The 21,595-nt window shown below is 38.7% G+C and overlaps 1 long non-coding RNA gene across 1 annotated transcript in view, besides 3 other annotated features; it reads left to right on the forward strand.

The window, feature by feature from the left end:
* RAP2C-AS1 (RAP2C antisense RNA 1) overlaps nucleotides 1-21,595 on the forward strand; it is a 214,305-nt gene that overhangs the window by 943 nt on the left and 191,767 nt on the right. The window contains exon 2 of the long non-coding RNA NR_110410.1: nucleotides 20,171-20,262. This is a non-coding gene — a long non-coding RNA (RAP2C antisense RNA 1). The remainder of the gene's footprint in view (nucleotides 1-20,170; nucleotides 20,263-21,595) is intronic.
* Nucleotides 320-369: an enhancer, noted in NCBI's record as "active region_29972". NCBI's record gives its function as "activates an Ori minimal core promoter by ATAC-STARR-seq in GM12878 lymphoblastoid cells {active_cell/tissue: GM12878}" and the evidence as "EXISTENCE:reporter gene assay evidence [ECO:0000049][PMID:35858748]".
* Nucleotides 4,304-4,833: an enhancer, noted in NCBI's record as "NANOG hESC enhancer chrX:131357781-131358310 (GRCh37/hg19 assembly coordinates)". NCBI's record gives its function as "activates a minimal SCP1, AML or CMV promoter by ChIP-STARR-seq in naive H9 embryonic stem cells {active_cell/tissue: H9 hESC(naive)}" and the evidence as "EXISTENCE:reporter gene assay evidence [ECO:0000049][PMID:30033119]".
* Nucleotides 17,752-18,046: a silencer, noted in NCBI's record as "tiled region #7036; HepG2 Repressive non-DNase unmatched - State 24:Quies". NCBI's record gives its function as "represses a minimal TATA promoter and a strong SV40 promoter by Sharpr-MPRA in HepG2 cells {active_cell/tissue: HepG2}" and the evidence as "EXISTENCE:reporter gene assay evidence [ECO:0000049][PMID:27701403]".

Raw genomic sequence — 21,595 nt, forward strand, 5'->3', positions numbered from 1 at the left:
CTCCAGCTGGCCTGGGCCCTGTGTCGTATCAGAGGCACTGCCCTCTGCTGGAAGGGGTTTGGTCTGTGAGTTATGAGTTTCCCCACAGGTCACTGCTCCTTTCACACGTGCTGTTGCCTGATTTGGAGCTCTGCTGCTCATCTCCCTGCCTAGCTGTCTCCAGACTGTCTGGTGGGATTCACAGCCCTCCACCAGCCGTGCTTGTAACTGAGTCTGGAAATTCCTCTTCTGATCCAGCCAGTGTTGAGCAATCGTGGCAAGTCTTTGCTCTATTACTAAACTGTCAAAGCAAGGAGTTCTTTTTCAGGTCATCCCACCTGTTGGCAATTCTAATATCTCTGAATGTGTTGGTCATGCTTAGGAGAGAGTTCTTTGTTTCTCCACGCAGTGAAACATACTCCTCCCCTCAGTACAGCGTCCTGTGGGGTCACTCTCGTCAACTACAGTGGACAAATATTACACTCAGTCTAAAGATCCTTCTAAACTTTCTTAGGAAGGGTATTCATTACAGCATTGATTAGGAAATCAAACAATTGGAAGAAGCTTAAATGTCCTTCAGTAGGTGATTTTTAAAAGTTTCATAGCTCTCTATATCTATTATCTATCATCTATCTATCTATCTACCAACCTACCTACCTACCTATCTGTATTCACAGAATAGGATATTATGCAGCTACTTTAAAAGAGAAAAGCAGATTTGTAAGTGTTTATATAAAAAGATGGCCAAGATATATTGTAGGGCTGAAAAAGCAAGATACTGAACAAATGTCTAGTTGCTACTGTTTATGTAAAACGCAGGTGTGTAATAGTTACATAGCCATTCAAATCTGAAACAAAGTAATTATGGGTGAGGACTATTATGAAATGGCTTTTATTTCTCCATATTTTAATTTATAAACAATAATTGGGAAAAAGGAAGTAAATATAACTTTATAATATTTTTAAAGGAGGAACAAAAGAAAGTTGTTGATCTTGGTTTTGTAAAAAAAAAAAAAAAAAATCCTGACTGTCTAGGGGTCAGTGGACAGGTCCGCCCAATTTAAACAAATTCCCTACCCTTGCTTGCCCTCCCCAAACATCTCTATACTTAGAAAAGTATTTTCACATACATTATCTCATTAGACTCCTGTTGTTTGCTAGTGTACTCTCATTAAGCAATGAGGGTATAAAGAGCAAGCAGAAGAGTGCGGCCTGGCAGTTGAGAGCTAAGGCTCTGAAATGAGACAGAGGTGCATTAAAATTGCAGCTCCGCCACATTCTAGCTCTGTGTCCCCAAGCAAGTGATTTCACTTGTCTGAGCCTCTAACTCCTCACTTGTAAAAAGGAGATAAGAAGTTAACGTGAAAATGTAATGAGGTATTACAGGTAAAGTGCTTAGCACAGTCCCTTGCACATTATAAAGCCTCAATAAATGCTATTTGGTTTTTATTTAAAAGATTTAATGAATTGTTAATTTTTAAAAAATAGCAAACATGGGGGTAACAAAATTTTAAAAGCTCAAATATCTGCAAGTGGCACGAAAATAATAATTCAGTTACTCTTCACAAAGATATTTATTGTTAAAAGCTTCTTATGTTTTTCAGGGGGGAACATTATTCATATGTCAGTGTATCAATCTACCTTCTATATATATTTTTAAAAATTACTGTACTACAAAAGTAATCAACTGTACACACTATTTTTTACCTTGCTTTTTAAACTTTAATTAATTAATTTTTTTAAGACAGTGTCTCCCTCTGTTACCCAAGCTGGAGGGCAGTAGCATGATCATAGCTCACTGCAGCCTCAACCTCCTGGACTCAAGGGATCCTCCCACCTCAGCCTCCCGAGTAGCTAGGACTACAGGTACATGCCACCACACACAGCTAATTTAATTTAATTTAATTTTTTTGGTAGAGATGGAGTCTTACTATGTTGCCCATGGTGGTCTCCAACTCCTGAGCTCAAGGGATCCTCCCGACTTGGCCTCCCAAAGTGCTGGGATTAAAGGCATGAGCCACCATGTCTGGCCTTCTTAATTTTTATTTCATGGCTGTATCATAAGCTAATTAGCCAGCTCCCCTTTGAAGGACACTGATTGCTTCTAGGTTTTTGCACTAAACGCCTTGGACATATATCATTGTCAGTTAATGTTTAGGGTGAATTTCTAGTAATTCAATAATTGAAACAAAAGGCACTTGCACTTAAAATTCTTCTGGTAAGTATTGCCAAATTGTCCTTCAGAAAGGTCACACCAATTCACATTCCCACCAATGCAGTATGACCGTATCATTTTATAACCTCACAGTAGGTATTACTAATTTTAGCATTTTATAGTGATTGTTACTTGCTTTAGGGTATTTTCAGGACTAACAAATGCAGGGCAGCGTTTTAGAAGGAATTTGGACTTCAGAGCCAGACAGTCCTAACACTGCCCTTTTGCAAGCTACACCTCCATTCCTTCATTTGTAAAGTTGGGCATAATAGCAGTATCTAACTCATAGAATAATAAATGAGAAATCCATTCAAAGCATTTAGCCTTCCAAATATTAATTGCTCAATAAATAGAAACTGCTCAAGTAATAATTTTCTACTCCAAAGGCTTGAATATGGGAAGAGGGGAATGGGAGGACTTCTCTAGAGATCATGCCCTTGAGATTCACAACTTTTGCTTTAATTCTGCATCAACCTCCTTTCCAAAGTATTGCTCAGGCATTATTTTAAAGAACACAACCCATTTTTACCATAGTGTGAAGAAACCACAGTGTATGCACTATATGCAGATAATATAAGTAATAGGGCCATAATCTCATTTTTTGAAATTAGTTTGGCACAAGTTTAAAGTGCTGGATGTTTGCTACAGGCACCAGTTGCTTACTTATCCCTTTCTTCTTTTCGAGTTGTTACCTCCTTCAGTTGCAATCCTTGGAGCCACCAACTGCCTGGGATATTTTACCCTAACTTCCACTCTCCAAATGAGCCGTCTTGCCTTCTAGGTCCTGGGAAAAAACCCATGGCTATCCATCTACTTTCTATACATGGCTATCTATTTTCCATCCAGGCTCTTCCCTTCTCTTTTGCTAGAAGTTGCTCTTGAATTACCAGAAAGCTTGAGCCAGTAATGTCCTCAGTCTTTGCCTACAGAAATCTTATTTCAATGCTTTAGGGACCCCATTGATATCAGCTAAATTGTCCTGGATTCTTTCTAGCTCCTACCCTCTAAGATTCCAATCTTCTCTTTCAAATCCTGCCTCCAGCTACACCAATCATTAGTTAATCATTAGTTCTGCATGTCAGGCTCCCCCAGTACACAAAACCAATTTTATACCTTTATTATTATCTTTTTTCTCATGAAAATAATGTTATTTGCAAAAAATTATAAAAGTATAATCCCACTACCTGGAGAAAATTGCTATTAACATTTTAGTGTCTTTCACAATTTTTTTTCTGGAGAGAGTTAAAGAACATTTTTTTTTTGTAAACTAATAATGGGTTCATATAAATTTGTGAATGGCTTCTTTCACTTACTGAAACATCATGTCTGCATAAAGCACTAAAAAATACTCATGTATCCCTCATCCCCTACATGAGTAAGCCTTTTTTCCTATAGCTTTAGCTTTCCTACAGCATCAATGAGAATTTAATCACATTCAATTTTGCTCACCTGGAATCCTTCATCCAATCAATGAGATTTCACTAGAGGTGCTGCTGACCACAGAGGACACTACCCCAACCTGGCCAGGCAGACACTCCTACAAAGTCACAAATTTGTGCGACTGCTGACAAAGTTAGTTTCTCAGAACTGAGAGGCGTACTAAATAGGGATGTGTTTAAAATAGATCTGAATTCCTTAACAATTTTTCCCTCTCCACTTCATCCTTGATTTGAAAGATAGTAGTTAGAAAATTATTTTGTAATCTATCAAGTACCAAATAAATTTAAAGAATTAGTACTAATAATAACTATACTCCCATACTCCTAATATATGTACATCAGAATCACCTGGAGGTGATGTGAACCACAGACGGCCAGGTCTCAACCCCAGAGTTTTTTATTCAGTAGGTCTGGGTCAGGATCTATAATTTGCATATCTAAGTTCCCAGATGACACTGTTGCTGCTGGCCCAGGGACCACATTTTAAGCACCACTGTTCTGTAAAGCGGTAGGACATTATTTGGGGCTTTCTTGCTTGATACTCATTAATGTATCCACTCATTCATTTATCACACAGTTATTGAATTCCTACTCTGTGCCAAGCACTTTACTAGCATTTTTGAGGAATATAGACAATACAATCAACATTACAGTATAGCGTGGCACATCCTGTGATACAGATATCGGCCAGGGTGTTATGGGAGACTTAGGAAGGGTATCAGGGAAGATTTCCTAGAGAAGGTGATTGGGCAGTAGGCAAGGAGGCCAGAAGAATCGGTAGGGGCTAGAACCATAGGGGAAAGCCTTGAGTAGTAAGCTAAGGGGTTTGACTTTTCCCCTGGAGGCTGTAGGAAGCCATGGAATGTGTTTTTACAAAGGTCTTAATTGCGGTATACAAAATCAGGGGCTAGCGACATCCATGCCAGGTTCAACCATTGGCTGTGCTGCATATGTAGCCTGAGGCAAGTTACTTCTTACCTTCTCTGAGCTTCTCTTTCATCATGTGTGAAGGGAAAATATTAATAGATCTACCTTATTTGGGTATTGTGAAGATTAAGTAAGAAAAAGTGCCTAAGTACCCATCATATGGTAGGTGTTTAACAAATGGTGATTATGATCAGGTTTAAGCCATAGAAAGAAATGACATGTAAGACATGCTTCTCAGGTTATTAAAATCCATTTGAAATTGCCAAGCTAGTCTCAATATCAAGGCCATATTTGATGTGAAGATTAAGTAAGAAAAAGTGCCTAAGTACCCACCATACGGTAGGTGTTTAACAAATGGTGTTTATGATCAGGTTTAAACCATAGAAAGAAATGACGTGTAAGACAGGCTTCTCAGATTATTAAAATCCATTTGAAATTGCCAAGCTAGTCTCAATATCAAGGCCATATTTGATGTGGTGGCAAGTCGGATGATTTAATCATGTAATGATAATAGTTTATCTTGTCTTTTGTTTTGTTTTGTTTTGGAGACAGAGTTGCTCTGTCATCCAGGCTGGAGTGCAGTGGTGCGATCTCAGCTCACTGCAACCTCCGCCTCCTGGGTTCAAGCGATTCTCCTGCCTCAGCTTCCCCAGTAGCTGGGGCTACAGGTGCATGCCAGAATCCCTGGTAATTTGTTGTTGTTGTTGTATTTTTTAGTAGAGATGGGGTTTCACCATATTGCCCAGGCTGGCCTCGAACTTCTGCGCTCAGGCAATCTACTTGCCTCAGCCTCCCAAAGTGCTAGGATTACAGGCTTGAGCCACCACACCCAGCCTGATGATAATTTCTTGATTACAGATTATTTGCGAGGCACTGTGCAAAGTGATTTATGCACATCATTTCATTTAATCCTAGCAATAACCTTAAGAGTTAGGTATTATTATTCCCAATTTTACAAACAAAGGAATTAAGGCTCAAAGAAGTTAGTTTGTACATAGTCGAACAGTTGGGTAGTGGTAGAGTTTGAATTCAAACCTAAGTTAGTCTGAGCCTATCTTATATTAGCCACCTTGTTCCACAGAAAGCAGTTTTGTTTCTTTGAAGGACAGGGCAGCGAATGGGCAGTGAGGCAAGGTTAAAGAATCTAGACTTTATTACCCTGTTTCTCTGCCCTCGAGTAAGACTGACTGTTCATACTGATTTCAAGTGCCCTCTGGAAACATGCCTCTATAACCTCCCAGGGGCCCCTTGACCTTGGATCTGTGGCACCTGGTACTGAACCTGAGGTGGTCATAGTTACTTTCCAAAGTGCTCTGGAACATTTACAACAAGGAGCCCCCTTGTTTTGACACTAGGACAATATTAGACTCTGTAAGAGGAGGCATTGGGGTAAGCCTAGTTATTTTTAATGCTGCTATTACTACTATTGTTTATTGAGCACTTGCCACATGTCAGAAATTCTGTACTTCAATCCTTACAGCAACCCTATAAGGCAAGCACATTGTCATCATCATCTCTAGTTTAGAGATGAGGAAACTGAGGCTCACACAACTAAGTTCACACAGCCGGTAGATGCAGATTCAAGCAGAAAACTCGTTCATTCATTTTTACAAACCTTGCATTTTCATTTCTTCCTTTGCCTCTGTACCTATAACACCTTCAAACACAGATGTAATCCTCCTGAATTCTTTTACTGCCCACAAGTTTTATTTACCACATAGTTTAAGCCCTATTTTTAATGATGTATATACAAATCGTGTTTCTCCTCAAAATTATTTCATGCCATAAAAAGTCACTCTTCCCTCCCTTTATTTACAAATTCATTCCTCTTTAGAAATGAGCACTTATAATAATTACATGCAAGGCCAAATTTTTACTGTTTAGTGTAAACCCATAATGTGAAATTGAGAATGGTTGAAAAGCACGGTTATGAAAACATCGTGGACTCCAGACTCATCCCATACAATTTCCAAGGGGAATTTATTCTAAGTACTTTAAAACTTACAAAGAGTTGAATTCTGAACTACTTGGGCCTCTATGCACTCTTAGCAATTCCCCCAGCAGGGAACCAAAAATGAGAATAGAAAGAAATTGCCTCAACATTGAATTCTTAGACATTTAGAAGGCCTGGAGTCTGAATACTTTAAAAGGCTGTTATTTAAATGTGGGAAATGATGTGAAAAGTATAATGTAAAGATAAGATAAATATTGTTTGCTAAAATAAATCATCGGGTTTTTTTTTGTCAAATTCATGGCAATTTTAAAATCCTGTTAATTCTATTTATTTTTTTCTTATTTGGAGCAGGTAGCTGAATATGCAGAGTTCTGGCACTAGGTGTCAGCAAAAGATTAAACTAAAAACACCCACTTTGGGTTTTTTTCTTTTCTTTTTTCTTTCTACACATATATATTTGAGACAGGGTCTCACTCTGTCACCCAGGCTTTAGTGCGGTGGCATGATCATAGCTCACTGCAGCCTCGAACTCCCTGGGCTCAGGTGATCCTCCCAACTCAGCCTCCGGAGTAGCTGGGACTACAGCCATGTGCCACCATGCCCAGCTAATTTTTTGTATTTTTTTTTTTTTTTGTAGAAATGGGGTATTGCTATGTTGCCTGGGCTGGTCTCAAACTCCTTGGCTTAAGCAATCCTCCTGCCTTGGCCTCCCGAAGTGCTGGGATTACAGTCATGAGCCACCATGCCCGGCCTAATCTTCCATATATTTCAAACTTTATAAAAATAAAAATAAAATACATAGTCTGGATTTTAAAAAGAAGAGACAACACACTTCCTTGTTGCCATGACAACGTCAGCATGAGAGAGGCTGGGTTGCTGCTGCTCAAGTAGGCACCTTACAGAGATCCTCATGGCTCAAGGAATTCAATGTAAGACCGTTTGACCTTTAGCATTGAATGGCTGGGGACTCAATTTTGTGTCAGCTAGAAAGCTGGGGAATGAGAAGTTTGGAGGGTTGGATGGGGTGGTGAGGTACACTCCTGTAAACCAGATCTTAAAAGTCTAAATATTAAATTATTTTACATAGAAATGTAGTGTTCAAGCCAACCACAGTGCTTGTGCAGACAAATTCAGTGGATGCTTTTCCCACATGACAAGATTAACAAAATTAACTTAGAGGCTAGCTTTGAGAACCCAGGCTGATCCTAAGGGTTTCTCAAACTTACTATGTTAATTTTAGCATATCATAGGGTTTTTTTTTCCTTTTAATATCCAGAGCTTTCCCCCCTTCTTGTGATTCCTGTCACAGTAAATGGTGTTACCATCCAGCAGTCATTGAAAGTAGAACTTAGGGTATTGTTTTAGGTCATTCTTGTGTTGCTAGAAAGAAATACCTAAGGCTGGGTAATTTATAAAGAAGAGGTTTAACTGGGTCAAGGTTCTGCAGGCTGTACAGGATACATGGCATGTGCATCTGCTGGCTTCTAGGGAGGCCTTGGGGAGCTTTTACTTATGGTGGAAGGTCAAGCAGGAGCAGGCAGGTCACACGGGGAAAGCAGGAGCAAGAGGAAAAGAGCAGGAGGTGCCACACACTCTTACACAACCAGATCTTGCAACAACTGACTCACTATAGCAAGGACAGCACCAAGCCATGAAAGATCTGCCCCCATGATCCAATCACATTCCACCAGGCCCCACCTCCAACACTGGGGATTACGTTTCCACATGAGATTTGATGGGGACACAGATCCAAACCATATAAAATATCACTCTTAACTCTTCCTTTATCCTCATTTCCTATAACCAAACAACCCATTAAGTCCTGCCAAGTCTACCTCCTTAGTCTTTCTTACATCCGTCATATCCTATGTCTGCTCTAGTGTGTAGAGGGACTGGAGAAACATTTGTGTGACAACTCTTTCCTGAATGCTGTAATAGCCTCCTAAATCGTTTGTATGTCTCTGGTGTTTTCTGCATACTTTTACCAGTGTTATGAAACAAGTCTGTTTGAAACAAGTCTAACTACATATTTCTGCTGATTTCAACAACTCTCTATCAGAAAAAGCCCAAGTTTATACGCATGAAATATAAGGTCTTCTATATTCTTATTCCTGCCTACCTTCCAAGCACATCTCCCACCTTCACATCCTTTATGTTCTAGTACAAATAAAATCATCATGGTTTCAGTGAATTTGCACCCAGTCTTATGGCTTTAAATACCATCTTACATACTGCAGACTCCCAAATTTACATCTCCAGTTCAGACTGCTCCCATAGTTCTAGATCAGGGGTCCACGACCTCTGGGCCATGGGCCGGTACCGGTCTGTGGCCTGTTAGGAACTGGGTCACACAGCAGGAGGTGACTTGTGGGTGAGGAAGCATTACCGCCTGAGCTCTGCCTCCTATCAGATCAGCAGCGGCATTAGATTCTCATAGGAGCATGAACCCTATTGTGAACAGCGCATGCGAAGGATCTAGGTTGTATGCCCCTTATGAGAATCTAACTGCCTGATGATTTGACATGGAACAGTTTCATGCTGAAACCATCCCCTGCTGTCGCCCCCCACCTCCCCACCCTCTATGGAAAAAATTGTCTTCCACAAAACCAGTCCCTGGTGCCAAAAAGGTTGGGGACCGCTACTCTAGATTCATACTTATACTATAGTTCCATTTGTATTACTCAGACATCTCAGATTTAACATGTCCAATGCTGAATCTTGATAACCACCTCTCCTCAGAAATGAACACATGCCTCTCCTGCAGTCAGTCTTCCTTTCTTTCTCTTTCTTTTTCTTTCTTTCTCTCTCTTTCTTTCTTTCTCTCTCTCTTCCCTCCCTCCCTCCCTCCCTCCCTCCCTCCCTCCCTCCCTCCCTCCTTCCTTCCTTCCTTCCTTCCTCTCTCTCTCTCTCACTCTCTCTGTCTCTCAGACAAGATCTTGCTCTGTTGCCCAGGAAGGAGTACAATGGTGCAATCATGGCTTACTGTAGCCTTAACCTCCTGGGCTCAAGCAATCCTCCCACCTCTGCCTCCTGAATAGCTGGGACTACAGGCAAGCGTCACCATACCCGGCTAATTTGTGTATGTTTTGTAGAGATGAGGTCTCATTTTGTTGCCCAGACTGGTCTCGTACTCCTGGGCTCAAGCAGTCCTCCTGCTTGCACCTTCTGAAGTGTTGGGATTACAGGCATGAGCCACCATTCCCAGCCTCCCTTCTGCAGTCTTAAAAATCTCAGTAAATGGCAACTCCAGCTTCCAGTTGCACAGACTACACTCTTCCAGTCATCCTAGAGTCTTCTTTTCCCCTTATGCCATACAATCCAACCCATCTGGAGATACTGAAGTTCTTATCTTCATAATATGTCCAAAATGTGACTATTTCTTACCACACCCACTGCTAAGAATCTGGCCCAAACCACCATTTTCACTTTTCTGGATGATTATTGTATTCTTCTAATTGCTCTTGCTGTTTGTGAACTTAGCCTCCTTCAATCTATTCTCAACGCAGTAGCCAAACTGATCCCATTATAGCCACAAAATCCTACAGTAATTTCTCATCTCACTCAGAGCAAAGTCAAAGTCCTTACAATAATCTAAAAAGCACTACATAATCTGGCTCTTCATAAATGATAGATATACTCTTACACTAGCCTCTGTACTTGCTGTGCCATCTAGAACGTTCTTCCCCCAGATTCTCAGTTTCCTTCCTTTCTTCAGCTGTTTTACTCAAGAGCTCCTACTCTGTGTAACATTGCACCCCCTCCTCATGCAATACCTTCAAGTCTTATTTATTTTTTTCTCATTAGCACTTACACTTTTCTAATGTACTATGTTCTTTAGGGATTTTAATATGTTTCCCCTATTACAATGTAAACTCCACAAGGATGGGTACTTTTGTAAATTTTGTTCACTGAATATCCCATGGTCTAGAAAAGTGCCTGCAACGTGGTAGGTGTTAAATAGTGATGATGTTATTAAACTGTTTACACAGTTCTGTACATATTTTATTTGCATATGCCTTATATATTACCTCTGCCCAGAGGGCTTTCCCCTATCTTCATTTTTCCCCGCTATGGATTGGCAGCATTCTTTTTTCTTAAAAAAATCAGCTTTATTGAAATATAATTTACACACCACATAATTCATCCACTTAAGGGGTACAATTCAATGATAGTATTATGTTACAGAGTTACGCAACCATCACCACATTTTTTTTCTTCAAATTCTATTTTAAGTTCTGGGGTACATGTGCAGCATGTGCAGGTTTGTTACATAGGTAAACATGTGCCATGGTGGTTTGCTGCACAGATCATCCCACCACCTAGGTATTAAGCCCCGCATCCATTAGCTATTCTTCCTGATGCTCTCCCTACCCCCACCTTCCCCTCTGAGAGGCCCCAGTGTGTGCGTCACCACAATTTTAGAACATTTTTATCACTTCAAAAAGAAGCCAGGTACTCTAGCTATTGTCTCTCTATCTCCATTCCTGCAGCCCTAACCAACCACTAATCTACTTTCTGTCTCTCTAGATTTGCCTCTTCTGGACATTTCATATAAATGGAATCATATAATATGTGGTTTTTTGTGACTAGCTTGTTTCACTTAGCATAATGTTTCTAAGCTTCATCCATGTGATAGCATATATCAGTACTTCATTCCTTTTCATGGCCAAATAATATTATATTATATTATATTATATTGATATACCACATTTTGTTTATCCATTTGTCAGTTGATGTGCAATTGGGTTGCTTCCACCTTTTGACTATTATGAATAAGACTCCTGTAAACACTTGTGTACAATTTTAAAATGTGGACAAATTTAAAATGTGTTTTCATTTCTCTCTCTCTCTTTTTTTCTTTTTGTTCTTTTGAGACGGAGTCTCACTCTGCTGCCCAGGCTGGAGTGCAGTGGCATGATCTCAGCTCACTGCAACCTCCGCCTCCCGGGTTCAAGCAATTCTCCTGCCTTAACCTCCAGAGTAGCTGAGATTACAGGCGTGCACAAATCATCCCATCCCCTAGGTATTAAGCCCAGCATCCATTAGCTATTCTTCCTGATGTTCTCCCTCCCCCCACCCATGCGTGGCTAATTTTTGAATTTTTAGTAGAGACAGGGTTTCATCATGTTGGCCAAGCTGGTCACAAACTCCTGACCTCAAGTAATCTGCCTGCCTTGGCCTCCCAAAGTGCTGGGATTACAGGTCATCATGCCTGGCCTCATTTCTTTTGAGTTGAGAATTGCTGAGTCATATGACAACTCTAGGTTTAACCGTTTGAAAAACTGCCAGACCATTTTCCAAAGTGAATGCACCATTTCACATTCCCACCAGTAGTGTATGAGGGTTGAAATTTCTCCTCATCCTCTCCAACATTTGTCATTATCTCACTCTTTGATTGTAATCATCCTCATGGGTGTGACATGGTAACACATTGTAGTTTTGATTTGCATTTCCCCACTGACTAATGATATTGAGCATCTTTTCATGTGCTTATTGGTTATTTGTATATCTCTTTTGGAGAAATGTCTAGATCCTTTACCTATTTTCAAATTGGGTTCTTTTTCTTTTTATCATTGAGTTGTAAGAGTTCTTTATATATCCTAGATATAAGTCTGTATTAATCTGTTCTCACACTGCTATAAAGAACTACCTGGTACTGGTTAATTTATGAAGAAAAGAGGTTTAATTGGCTCACGGTTCCACAGATTTAACAGAAAGCATGACTGGGAGGCCTCAGGAAACTTACGATAATGGCAGAAGGTGAAGGGGAAGCAAGCACCTTCTTCATATGGTGGCAGGAGAGAGAGAGAGCAAAAAGGGAAGTGCCACATACTTTTAAACCATCAGATCTCATGAGAACTGACTCACTATCAGGAGAAGAGCAAGGGAGAAATCCTCCCCATGATCCAATCACCTCCCACCAAGTCCCTCCTCTGATTAAACATGAGATTTGTGTAAGGACACAAATCCAAACCATATTCAAGTCCCTTATTAGACATAGATGATTTGCAAATATGATCTCTCATTCTCTAGGTTGTCTTTGGGTTGATAGTATCTTTTGGAGCACAACATTTTTTAAGTATGATGAAGTTTAATTTATCTATTTTTTTCTTTGGTTGCTTGTGTTTTTGGTGTCGTATCTAAGGATACTTTGCCAATTTTGAGGTCATGAATATTTACCTTATAATTTCTTCTAAGAGTTTTACAAGTTTAGCTCTTACATTTACATCTTTGATTAATTTTGAGTTAATTTTTGTATATGGGGTGAGTAAGGGTACAATTTAACTCTTTCACATGTGGCTAACTAGTTGTTCCAGCAGTTTGTTAAAACAACTATTCTTCCCTGTTGAATGGTCTTGGCAAAAATCAATTGACCATAGGTGTATGGGTTTATTTCTGTACTCTCAATTCTATTCTATTGTTTTATGTCTATCCTTATGGCAGTAACACATTGTCTTGATTACTACTGCTTTTTAGTACATTTTGAAATCAGAAGTGTGAATCTTCCAGGTTTGTTCTTCTTTTTCATGATTATTTTGGCTATTCTGGGTCATTTGCAATTCCAAGTGAATATTAGAATCAGCTAGTCAATTTCTAAAAGGAATCCACCTGAGATTATGGTAGGAATTGCATTGAATCTATAGATCAATTCAAAGAGTATTGCCACCTTAACAATATTAAGTCTATTAAGTCTTCTCATCCACAAGCATGGGATATTTTTCAATTTATTTAGATATTCTAAAATTTATTGAACAATATTTGTTAGTTTTCAGAGTGTAAGATTTGCACCTCTTTTGTTAAATTTCTTCCTAAACATTTTATACTTTTTCAATGCTACTATGAATGGAATTGTTTCTTAATTTCATTTTGGACTGTTCATTGTAAGTGTATAGAAATAAAATTGAATTTTGTATATTGATTTTGTACCCTAAAAACTTGCTGAATTTGCTTATTAGTTCTAATAGTTCTTTTCAGATTCCTTAGCATTATCTACATACAAGATCATGTCATCTGTGAATAGACATCATTTTATATCTTCCTTTCCAATCAGGATGTCTTTTATTTCATCTTCTTGCCTAATTGCCCTGCCTAAAACTTCCAGTACAATGTTGAATAAAAATTGTGAGAACAGATCGATATCTTCGTCTGATTTTCCATCTCCTGGAAAGCATGTAGCCTTTCACTACTAAGTACGCTGTTAGCTGTGGGTTTCTTGTAGATACCCTTTATCAATTTGAGGATGTTCTTTCTAATTCTAGTCTGTGGAGTGTTTTTTAAAATCATGAAATAGTGTTAGGATATTTGTCAAATGGTTTTTCTGTGTCTACTGAGATGATCATGTAATTTTCTTGTTTTGTTGATATAATGTGTTATACTAATTGATTTTCAAATGTTGAACCAAACTTGCATTCCTGTGATAAATCTCACTTGGTCATGATACATAATTCTTTTTTGGATTTTGCTGGATTCAGTTTGCTAGTGTTTGTGGTGAATTTTTGTATCCATATTCATAAGAGATATTGGTCTGCAGTGGTTTTTTTTTTAGTTGTGATGTTTTTGTCTGTTTTTTCTCTCAGGATAATATTGGTCCCATAGAATCAGTTGGGAGATGTTCCTTCCTCCTTTTTAATTTGGAAGAGTATGTGATGAACTATTATTAATTGATCATCACATGTTTGGTAGAATTCACCAGTGAGGCTATCTGGGCCTAGGTTTTTCTTTGTGGGTAGTTTTGCCTTTTTATTTTTTTTTTAACTACATCAATCTCTTACTTGTTATAGGTCTCTTCAGATTGCCTAATTTTTCTTGAGTAAATTTTGGTAGTTTTTGTCTTTCTAGAAATTTGTCCATTTAATCTAGGTTATTTATTTTATTGGTAGACAACTGTTCATAGTACACCTTTATAATCCTTCTTATTCCTGCAAGGTCTGTAGTAATGTTCCCTTTTTTGCCTGGCTAATATATATTCTTCCTCTGAGATCCAATTCACACACCATCTATTTCACAAAGCTTTCTTTTACACTCCTCCTACCCCCACCCCCACCCCAAAAATCTTTCTGAAATAATATTCAATACCCCTCTTCATTCCCTCATCATATCATTTTACAGACTGTATTATTTCCTCTTTATTATGTCTATTTTCCTCCTAGACTGTGAGAAACTTGAGGAAAGAAACTTTGGTCTTAATGACACAAGATGCTTAATGAATGTTTTTGGAAATTAACTGAAATTAGTGACTGTTATCAAGCTCCCTTAGCCTGATGCATCTATATCCACTATTGAACTACATTTGCTACTCAGAGTAAATATTCCTATTTTCTCATCAGTGTCCCCTCTTATTCTTATTACTGATCTCTCCCTTTGCCTTTCTCCACACTTGTATAATATGATGACCTCTCTCCCTCATCCACAAGTTGCCAAGAACTTCCTTAAAAAGCTAAATCTCAGTTTTCCATATTCCACCCTTCTAAATCATCCATGGTTCATTGTAAAATCTCTGGCTGAAAAAAAAACATAAAGAGCCCTAAACTCATGAAAAGGTACTCAGTCTCACTCCGTAATAAGAAAGGTGTAAATTAAAGCCACACTGAAATACTGTTTTTCACCTATCAGATTGGCAAAAGACAAAATGTTTGATAATACAAGTAGCAAAGAGGAAGAGAAGGAAAGAAACTTGTAACCATCAAGCAACTACAGTGGACCAGGCACATTACAGGAAGTAAGCTATTGATTTCCTCCCTCTCCATCTTTTACGTGAATTTGCCAGCTAAAATGAAGTATGTACAAATAAAATACATTTTGCTTGAAAAGTAAGTTATTTCTGGACACATATTTGTGTATCAGAAAAGATAAGTGTTTCATATTAAGATAAGGAAAGAGTGTGAATTAGGTTCAACTATACATAATTTACAGATAGATTATAAATCTTTTTCCCTGTCTCTTGCCCTGTGCTCCTCCTAATCCTCATTAGTTAATGACATCAAATGAGAATGCATGCAATTTAGGAAACGATAGTAGAGAGTACAAAAGGGGATTTCAGTAAGTTTTCAGACAACCTAGAAAGTTCAGCCTCCTTTCAGTGTGATCAGGAAAGACTGAACTATGAACAGGATTCCAGATTCATCTAAAGTTAAGGTCGAAATTTCTAAAAGTGGGGCTGTGGATCTCTTAGAGGCTTGTAAATCCCTACATTGAATTGTCTGTACACAATAAATAGATCTGGTATATATGTGCAATGCTTTAAATTCATATTGATGTTATTGTGAAGAATAAAATATAAATTCACATATGTTTACAAACAAATTTTAATTTTTTCATTTTGCAAAAGCAGTACATGCTAATTGTCAAAAACTATGGACTGGCAAGAGGAAGAACATAAAGTTCACCTAAAATTCTACCACCCAGAAGTAACCATAGTTGTATATTTTTTGATAGAAATGATTTAGATTTACAGAAAAATTGTGAAGATAGTATAGAGTTCCAATATAACACACACCTAGTTTCTCCTATTATTAACATCTTATGTTAGCATGGTACATTCGTTTTAATTAGTGAACCAATATTGATTCATTATTATTAACTGAAGCCCATACTGTGTTTGAATTTCCTTAGTTTTTACCTAATGCTTTTTCTCTGTTCAGAGATCCCATCCAGGATACCACAGTCGTCATACCTCCTTAGGTTGTTCTTGGCTGTGACACTTTCTTTGATTTTCCTTGTTTTTGATGACGTTGACAGTATTGGTTAGATATTTGTAGAATGTTTCTCATTTGGATTTGTCTGATGTTTTTTGTAATTTGACAGAAGTTATGGAGTTTGAGGAGAAAGACTATAGAAGTAAAGTCCAATTCTCATCAGTAAAATGCCATTCCCATCACACCATATCAAGGGTGTGTACATTACATATATGTGCGTACATGTACGTTGTAATTATATGTGTATGTATATATAATTACATATAATTACAATGTACATACTATTTTGTACTCTGCTTTCACTTAAATACCTGGCACGAAACCCTTTCATGTCATTAACAGCAACATATTAATATCTACAAGTTCATTTTAAAATGTTAATGATTCCAGAGGAGATTTATGTCTCCATGTCTTTCCTCAAATGATGGATTCTCTGGGTCTACTTCCTATCATGTGCAAGACAGTGTCATTTGTTTACATTATAGAAGTGGGTCTGATTGTAGAGTTTGCATCCTAGACTCCGACATTTCTCTTTGAGGCTGTAGGTTGGGTTGGGTTTTGTGAGCTATTTTGAATATTTTGAATTCCTTTCAGGATCAGTGATAAGTGAGGAGGTAAGAGAGATAAATACAGAGGATACGCTATGTAGAGAATTCAGAAAAACAAGAGACTTTTGGATTTATTATCTAAAGGGAGATAATCCAATTCAGAGTCACTACCTGAGATACTATGGGAACTGACAGTCTCCAAAGGCTATGTTTTGCTAAACCACAGCATATTTCCACGAATTAGGACACAAGGGATGGTAAAGATTTGTGGCAATAGATATTTGCGTCATTTAGAAATGTCAACTAGGGGGCCGGGCGCAGTGGCTCATGCCTGTAATCCCAGCACTTTGGGAGGCCGAGGCGGGCGGATCACGAGGTCAGGAGATCAAGACCATCCTGGCTAACAAGGTGAAACCCCGTCTCTACTAAAAAAAAAAAAAAAAAAAAAATACAAACAAAGTAGCCGGGCGTGGTGGCGGGTGCCTGTAGTCCCAGCTACTAGAGAGACTAAGGCAGGAGAATGGCGTGAACCCAGGAGGCGGAGCTTGCAGTGAGCCGAGATCGCGCCACTGCACTCCAGCCTGGGCGACAGAGCAAGACTCCTTCTCAAAAAAAAAAAAAAAAAAAAAAAGAAAAAAAATGTCAACTAGAACTCATGGTATTTTTTATGAATTGAAAAGTGACCCCAAATAACTAGCTAATTTGTACTTTGTGGTAGCATTTTATTAAATATTAAAATTTGGTTCTTCTGGGTGGAATTTTACCTAAGATAATTACAATATATTATAATTTAAACCAACACTGTGGTTGAACCCAACGTCATATTTTGAGTGTTACTGCCAATTGGACAATGTTTACTTACTACCCCCTATGGGTTAGAGGTAAACTAACTAGATTATTTGTTTGGGCTTATCTCTGCTTATGTTGATCCAAAAGATGTCATTAATTTCTGCTAACATTATTGTTTGAATGAAGTGAAATTAAGGGTGTGTTATTATGACTAATACGGTGAATGTATTTATTTATTTATTTTAAGTATTTGACACTGACTCCTGGGGATTACAATAGGAGATTCTGCTGGCTTTTGCCTACATATCAAGAAAAGTATGTATGCAGTATCATGCCAGGAAATGAGTGGCAGAGGCTTGGACTGGGAACATTATACCAATTGTAATGTATTTGCAGCAGTAAACCAGAGGCCAGGGGAGTTACAAAAACAAGACTGCCAACTCACACCGAATGTCTATGCAAATAAGCAATTGAGAGATCTTAGTTTATTTATTCAAATGTGGTATGCTGACAACAGCAGTGGACTGAGAAGTATGAAGTTCTGAGTTTGGAAGCCTCCTACAACACCAACTCCCTGTGTAATCAAGACTCATCACTTCCTCTTTCTGAGTTTTCCCCTCCCAAGGCTCTTTCTAGATCTAGCAGCCTATGAATCCTATGATTCTACTAGGTGTGAGGCATTAGGTGCTTTGTGAGAGCCAAAATTGTATAAGACACTCTTAAAGTTCTTTTTTTGGAGGCTGTATATTTTTAATAGAAATATTAAAAATTTATCTGTCATTGTGTCACACTCTGTCACTGTGTCACCCAGGCTGGAGTGCAGTAGCACAATCATGGCTCACTGCAGCCTCAACCTCCTGGGCTCAAGCAATCCTCCTGCCTCAGCCTCCTGAGTAGCTGGAACTACAGGTGCACACCAGCAGACATGGCTAATCTTTGTATTTTTTGTAGAGACAGGGTTTTGCCATGTTGTCCAGGCTGGTCTTGAGCTCCTGGGCTCAAGTGATCTTCCCACCTTTGCCTCCCAAAGTGTTGAGATTACAGGTGTGAGCCACTGTGCCTAGCCTCAAGTTCTCTCTCTCTTTTTTTTTTTTTTTTTGAGACAGAGTCTCACTCTGTTGCCAGGCTGGAGTGCAGTGGCCAGATCTTGGCTCACTGCAACCTCTGCTTCCCGGGTTCAAGTAATTCTGCCTCAGCCTCCCGAGTAGCTGGGATTACAGGTGTGTACCACCTTGCTCAGCTAATTTTTGTATTTTTCGTAGAGGTGGGTTTTCACCATGTTAGCCAGGCTGGTCTCGAACTCCTGACCTCAAATGATCCACCTGGCTCGGCCTCCCAAAGTGCTGGGATTACAGGCGTGAGCCACTGTGCCTGGCCCTGGCCTCGAGTTCTTAAAAATCAAAGTAAGGAGTTGAATATTCCATAGATATTCTGCAAATATTTGCTCCCAGGACTCAAGAAGGCCCCAAGAACTGAGGCAGAGACAGAGCACATAAGTGGACAGTTACACAATTCTAACAATGAAGCAAGGCTACAATATTTGTCTTAGCTTCAATTCCATTTATTTTGCTCCAACGATCTATCTATACACAGCTGAAAATTAGTGATAACATTGTCTCTTATCTGTTTTGTGCTGCTATAACAAAATGCCACAGACTGGGTAATTTATAACAAACAGAAATGTATTTCTCACACTTCTGGAGGCTGGGAAGTTCAAGATCAGGTGCTAACATCTCGTGTCTGGTGAGGGCCTATCATGCTTCCTCACATAGCAGAAGAGCAAAAAAAGAGCAAACCCACTACACGAACCCTTTTTATAGCAGCACTAAACACCTCCCATTAGGCCACACCTCCCAGCAGTGTTGCATTAGGGATTAAGTTTCAACATGCATATTGGAGGGAACAAAAACATTCAAACCATAGCACATTGGTTTAAAACCAATATACCAGAACTTAAGCATGTGTATCATCTCTTTGAAGTAATTGAACAATTATTCAAAGACACTTGGAAACTGCCTACATAACCTGTGGCGCATATTCAAATTTACTTGGTTGGGAATAGCCAACCAAGTAAACCAAACATCACTTAGAGCCAAATGAAGTGAATATGATGAGTGATAGACTGGGTGCAGTGGCTCACACCTGTAATCCCAGCACTTTGGGAGGCTGAGGCAGGTGGATTGCTTGAGGCCAGGAGTTTGAGACCAGCCTGGCCAAAGTGGCAAAACCCCATCTCCACAAAAAATACAAAAATTAGCCAGGCGTGATAGTATGCACCTGTAGTCCCAGCTAATTGGGAGGCTGAGGCAGGAGAATCATTTGAACCTGGGAGGTAGAGGTTGCAGTGAGCCGAGACTGTGCTACTGCATTCCAGCCTGGGTGACAAAGTGAGACTCTGCCTCAGGAAAAAAAAAAAAAAAAGAGTGATAGACCTGGTCCATAAATTTTGAGTTAAAAATGAAGTATGATTATTAAGAAATGAGATTGGTTTTCTTGAGGTCCTCATAATTGGCTCTGGAGTTTTTTGTTTGTTTTTGTTTTGTTTTGTTTTTGACGTAGTTTCGCTCTTGTTGCCCAGGCTGGAGTGCAATATTTTACTCCTTCCCCTTGTTATCTTTGTTTAGACTGATGAGCTTCTCTGTGCAAGGGTGCCTTTTTGGAGCAATGTCCCCATTCGGTCCATTGATATGAACCACTTCATTGAATGTCTTAGACGGTAAGTAGTAACAGCTGCTGTGCTTGCTTGTCAAAAGGAAATTTTTCAGAGCCTGGACTTTTGTAATATATGGCTTCTTTCTGTTTTCTATAGCTACCAGGAGAAAGTAATCTTTCTCTGGAGCCATCCCAGAATGTAGATCAAATTACATCAGAATACATAGACATTGACTTACTGGTTAGTCAATCACATAATCAATGTGAAAAAAATGATACTGTGCATTTTTGTACCACACATTTTACTTCTTCTGTGTTCATTCAAATATGGTATTGCATTCAGACCATCTACCAATTATCTGAAGGGCAGTAAGGTAGACATTTCTATCCCCATGTGAAAGACAAGAACACAGGTTCGGAATGATTACATAAATTACCTAGGGTTAGATAGTTATTATTTTATTATTATATAGATATTAGATAGTTATTCTTTTCTTGGTTGTAAAAAAGATTTAGAAGCCTAGAGACTAGTTAAAATATTTTTTTTTCAGGAGCTAAGACGAATATACAATATAGGTAAAACACACTTGAAGCTCAATAAAACAAACCAACCACATAACAAAAGAGGGGAACCCTTTGTAGATAACTGACAAATGTGAAAGTGTTATTGTTCATCTATTTATTAAATCAATGAAAATTTATTTTTATAAAATGAATCAGGCTTTCAGCCCTGATTCTTGCCCAGAGTTTGAAGGTGAGCCAGGCTCTGTCACATTATGATAATCAGTTTCTTTGACTAAAACATGACGAGGGACAGAGAGAATGATACTTGCTTTACTTACTCCCTTGGGGTACTGTGAAGAGCTTTGCCAGTTGTAGAGATCTACACACAGGTAAAGACTTAATTAACTCAACAAATGTTTATTGAGTGCCTACCGTGTATAATGCACAAAGGGAAATATTCATCTGCCTTCAAGAAACTAGTAGCCTGCTACAGCAAGAATAAAATGTATAAAAATGAGAAATGTGAGGTAGAAAATCCTAAGTGCCAAAATAGAGGTAACATCTCTGAAAATATTACAGTTACTACATTTCTGAAAATAAGTAGGTGGTTACTGGAATTGATCAATAAAATGATTACAACTATAAAAATGATCTTTTTAGGCATGCAGCTTTAGCATCCCATTTGCTTTATTCCCAGTACTTAATTAAATCATTTTCACTTGACAAACATTTATTGAGCAACTACTATGAGCTGGTCCCTGTCCTAGGAGCTGGAGATAAAGTTAAAAATGCATGTCCTTGCTCTCAATGAACTTATGGTTTAGTAAGGAGAAACAAACATGCACAATAATGATAAAAATTTACAGGTGCAGTGGGGGATAGCATAAGATAAG

This window comes from Homo sapiens, chromosome X (assembly GCF_000001405.40).
Source record: "Homo sapiens chromosome X, GRCh38.p14 Primary Assembly".
Lineage (NCBI taxonomy): Eukaryota > Metazoa > Chordata > Mammalia > Primates > Hominidae > Homo > Homo sapiens.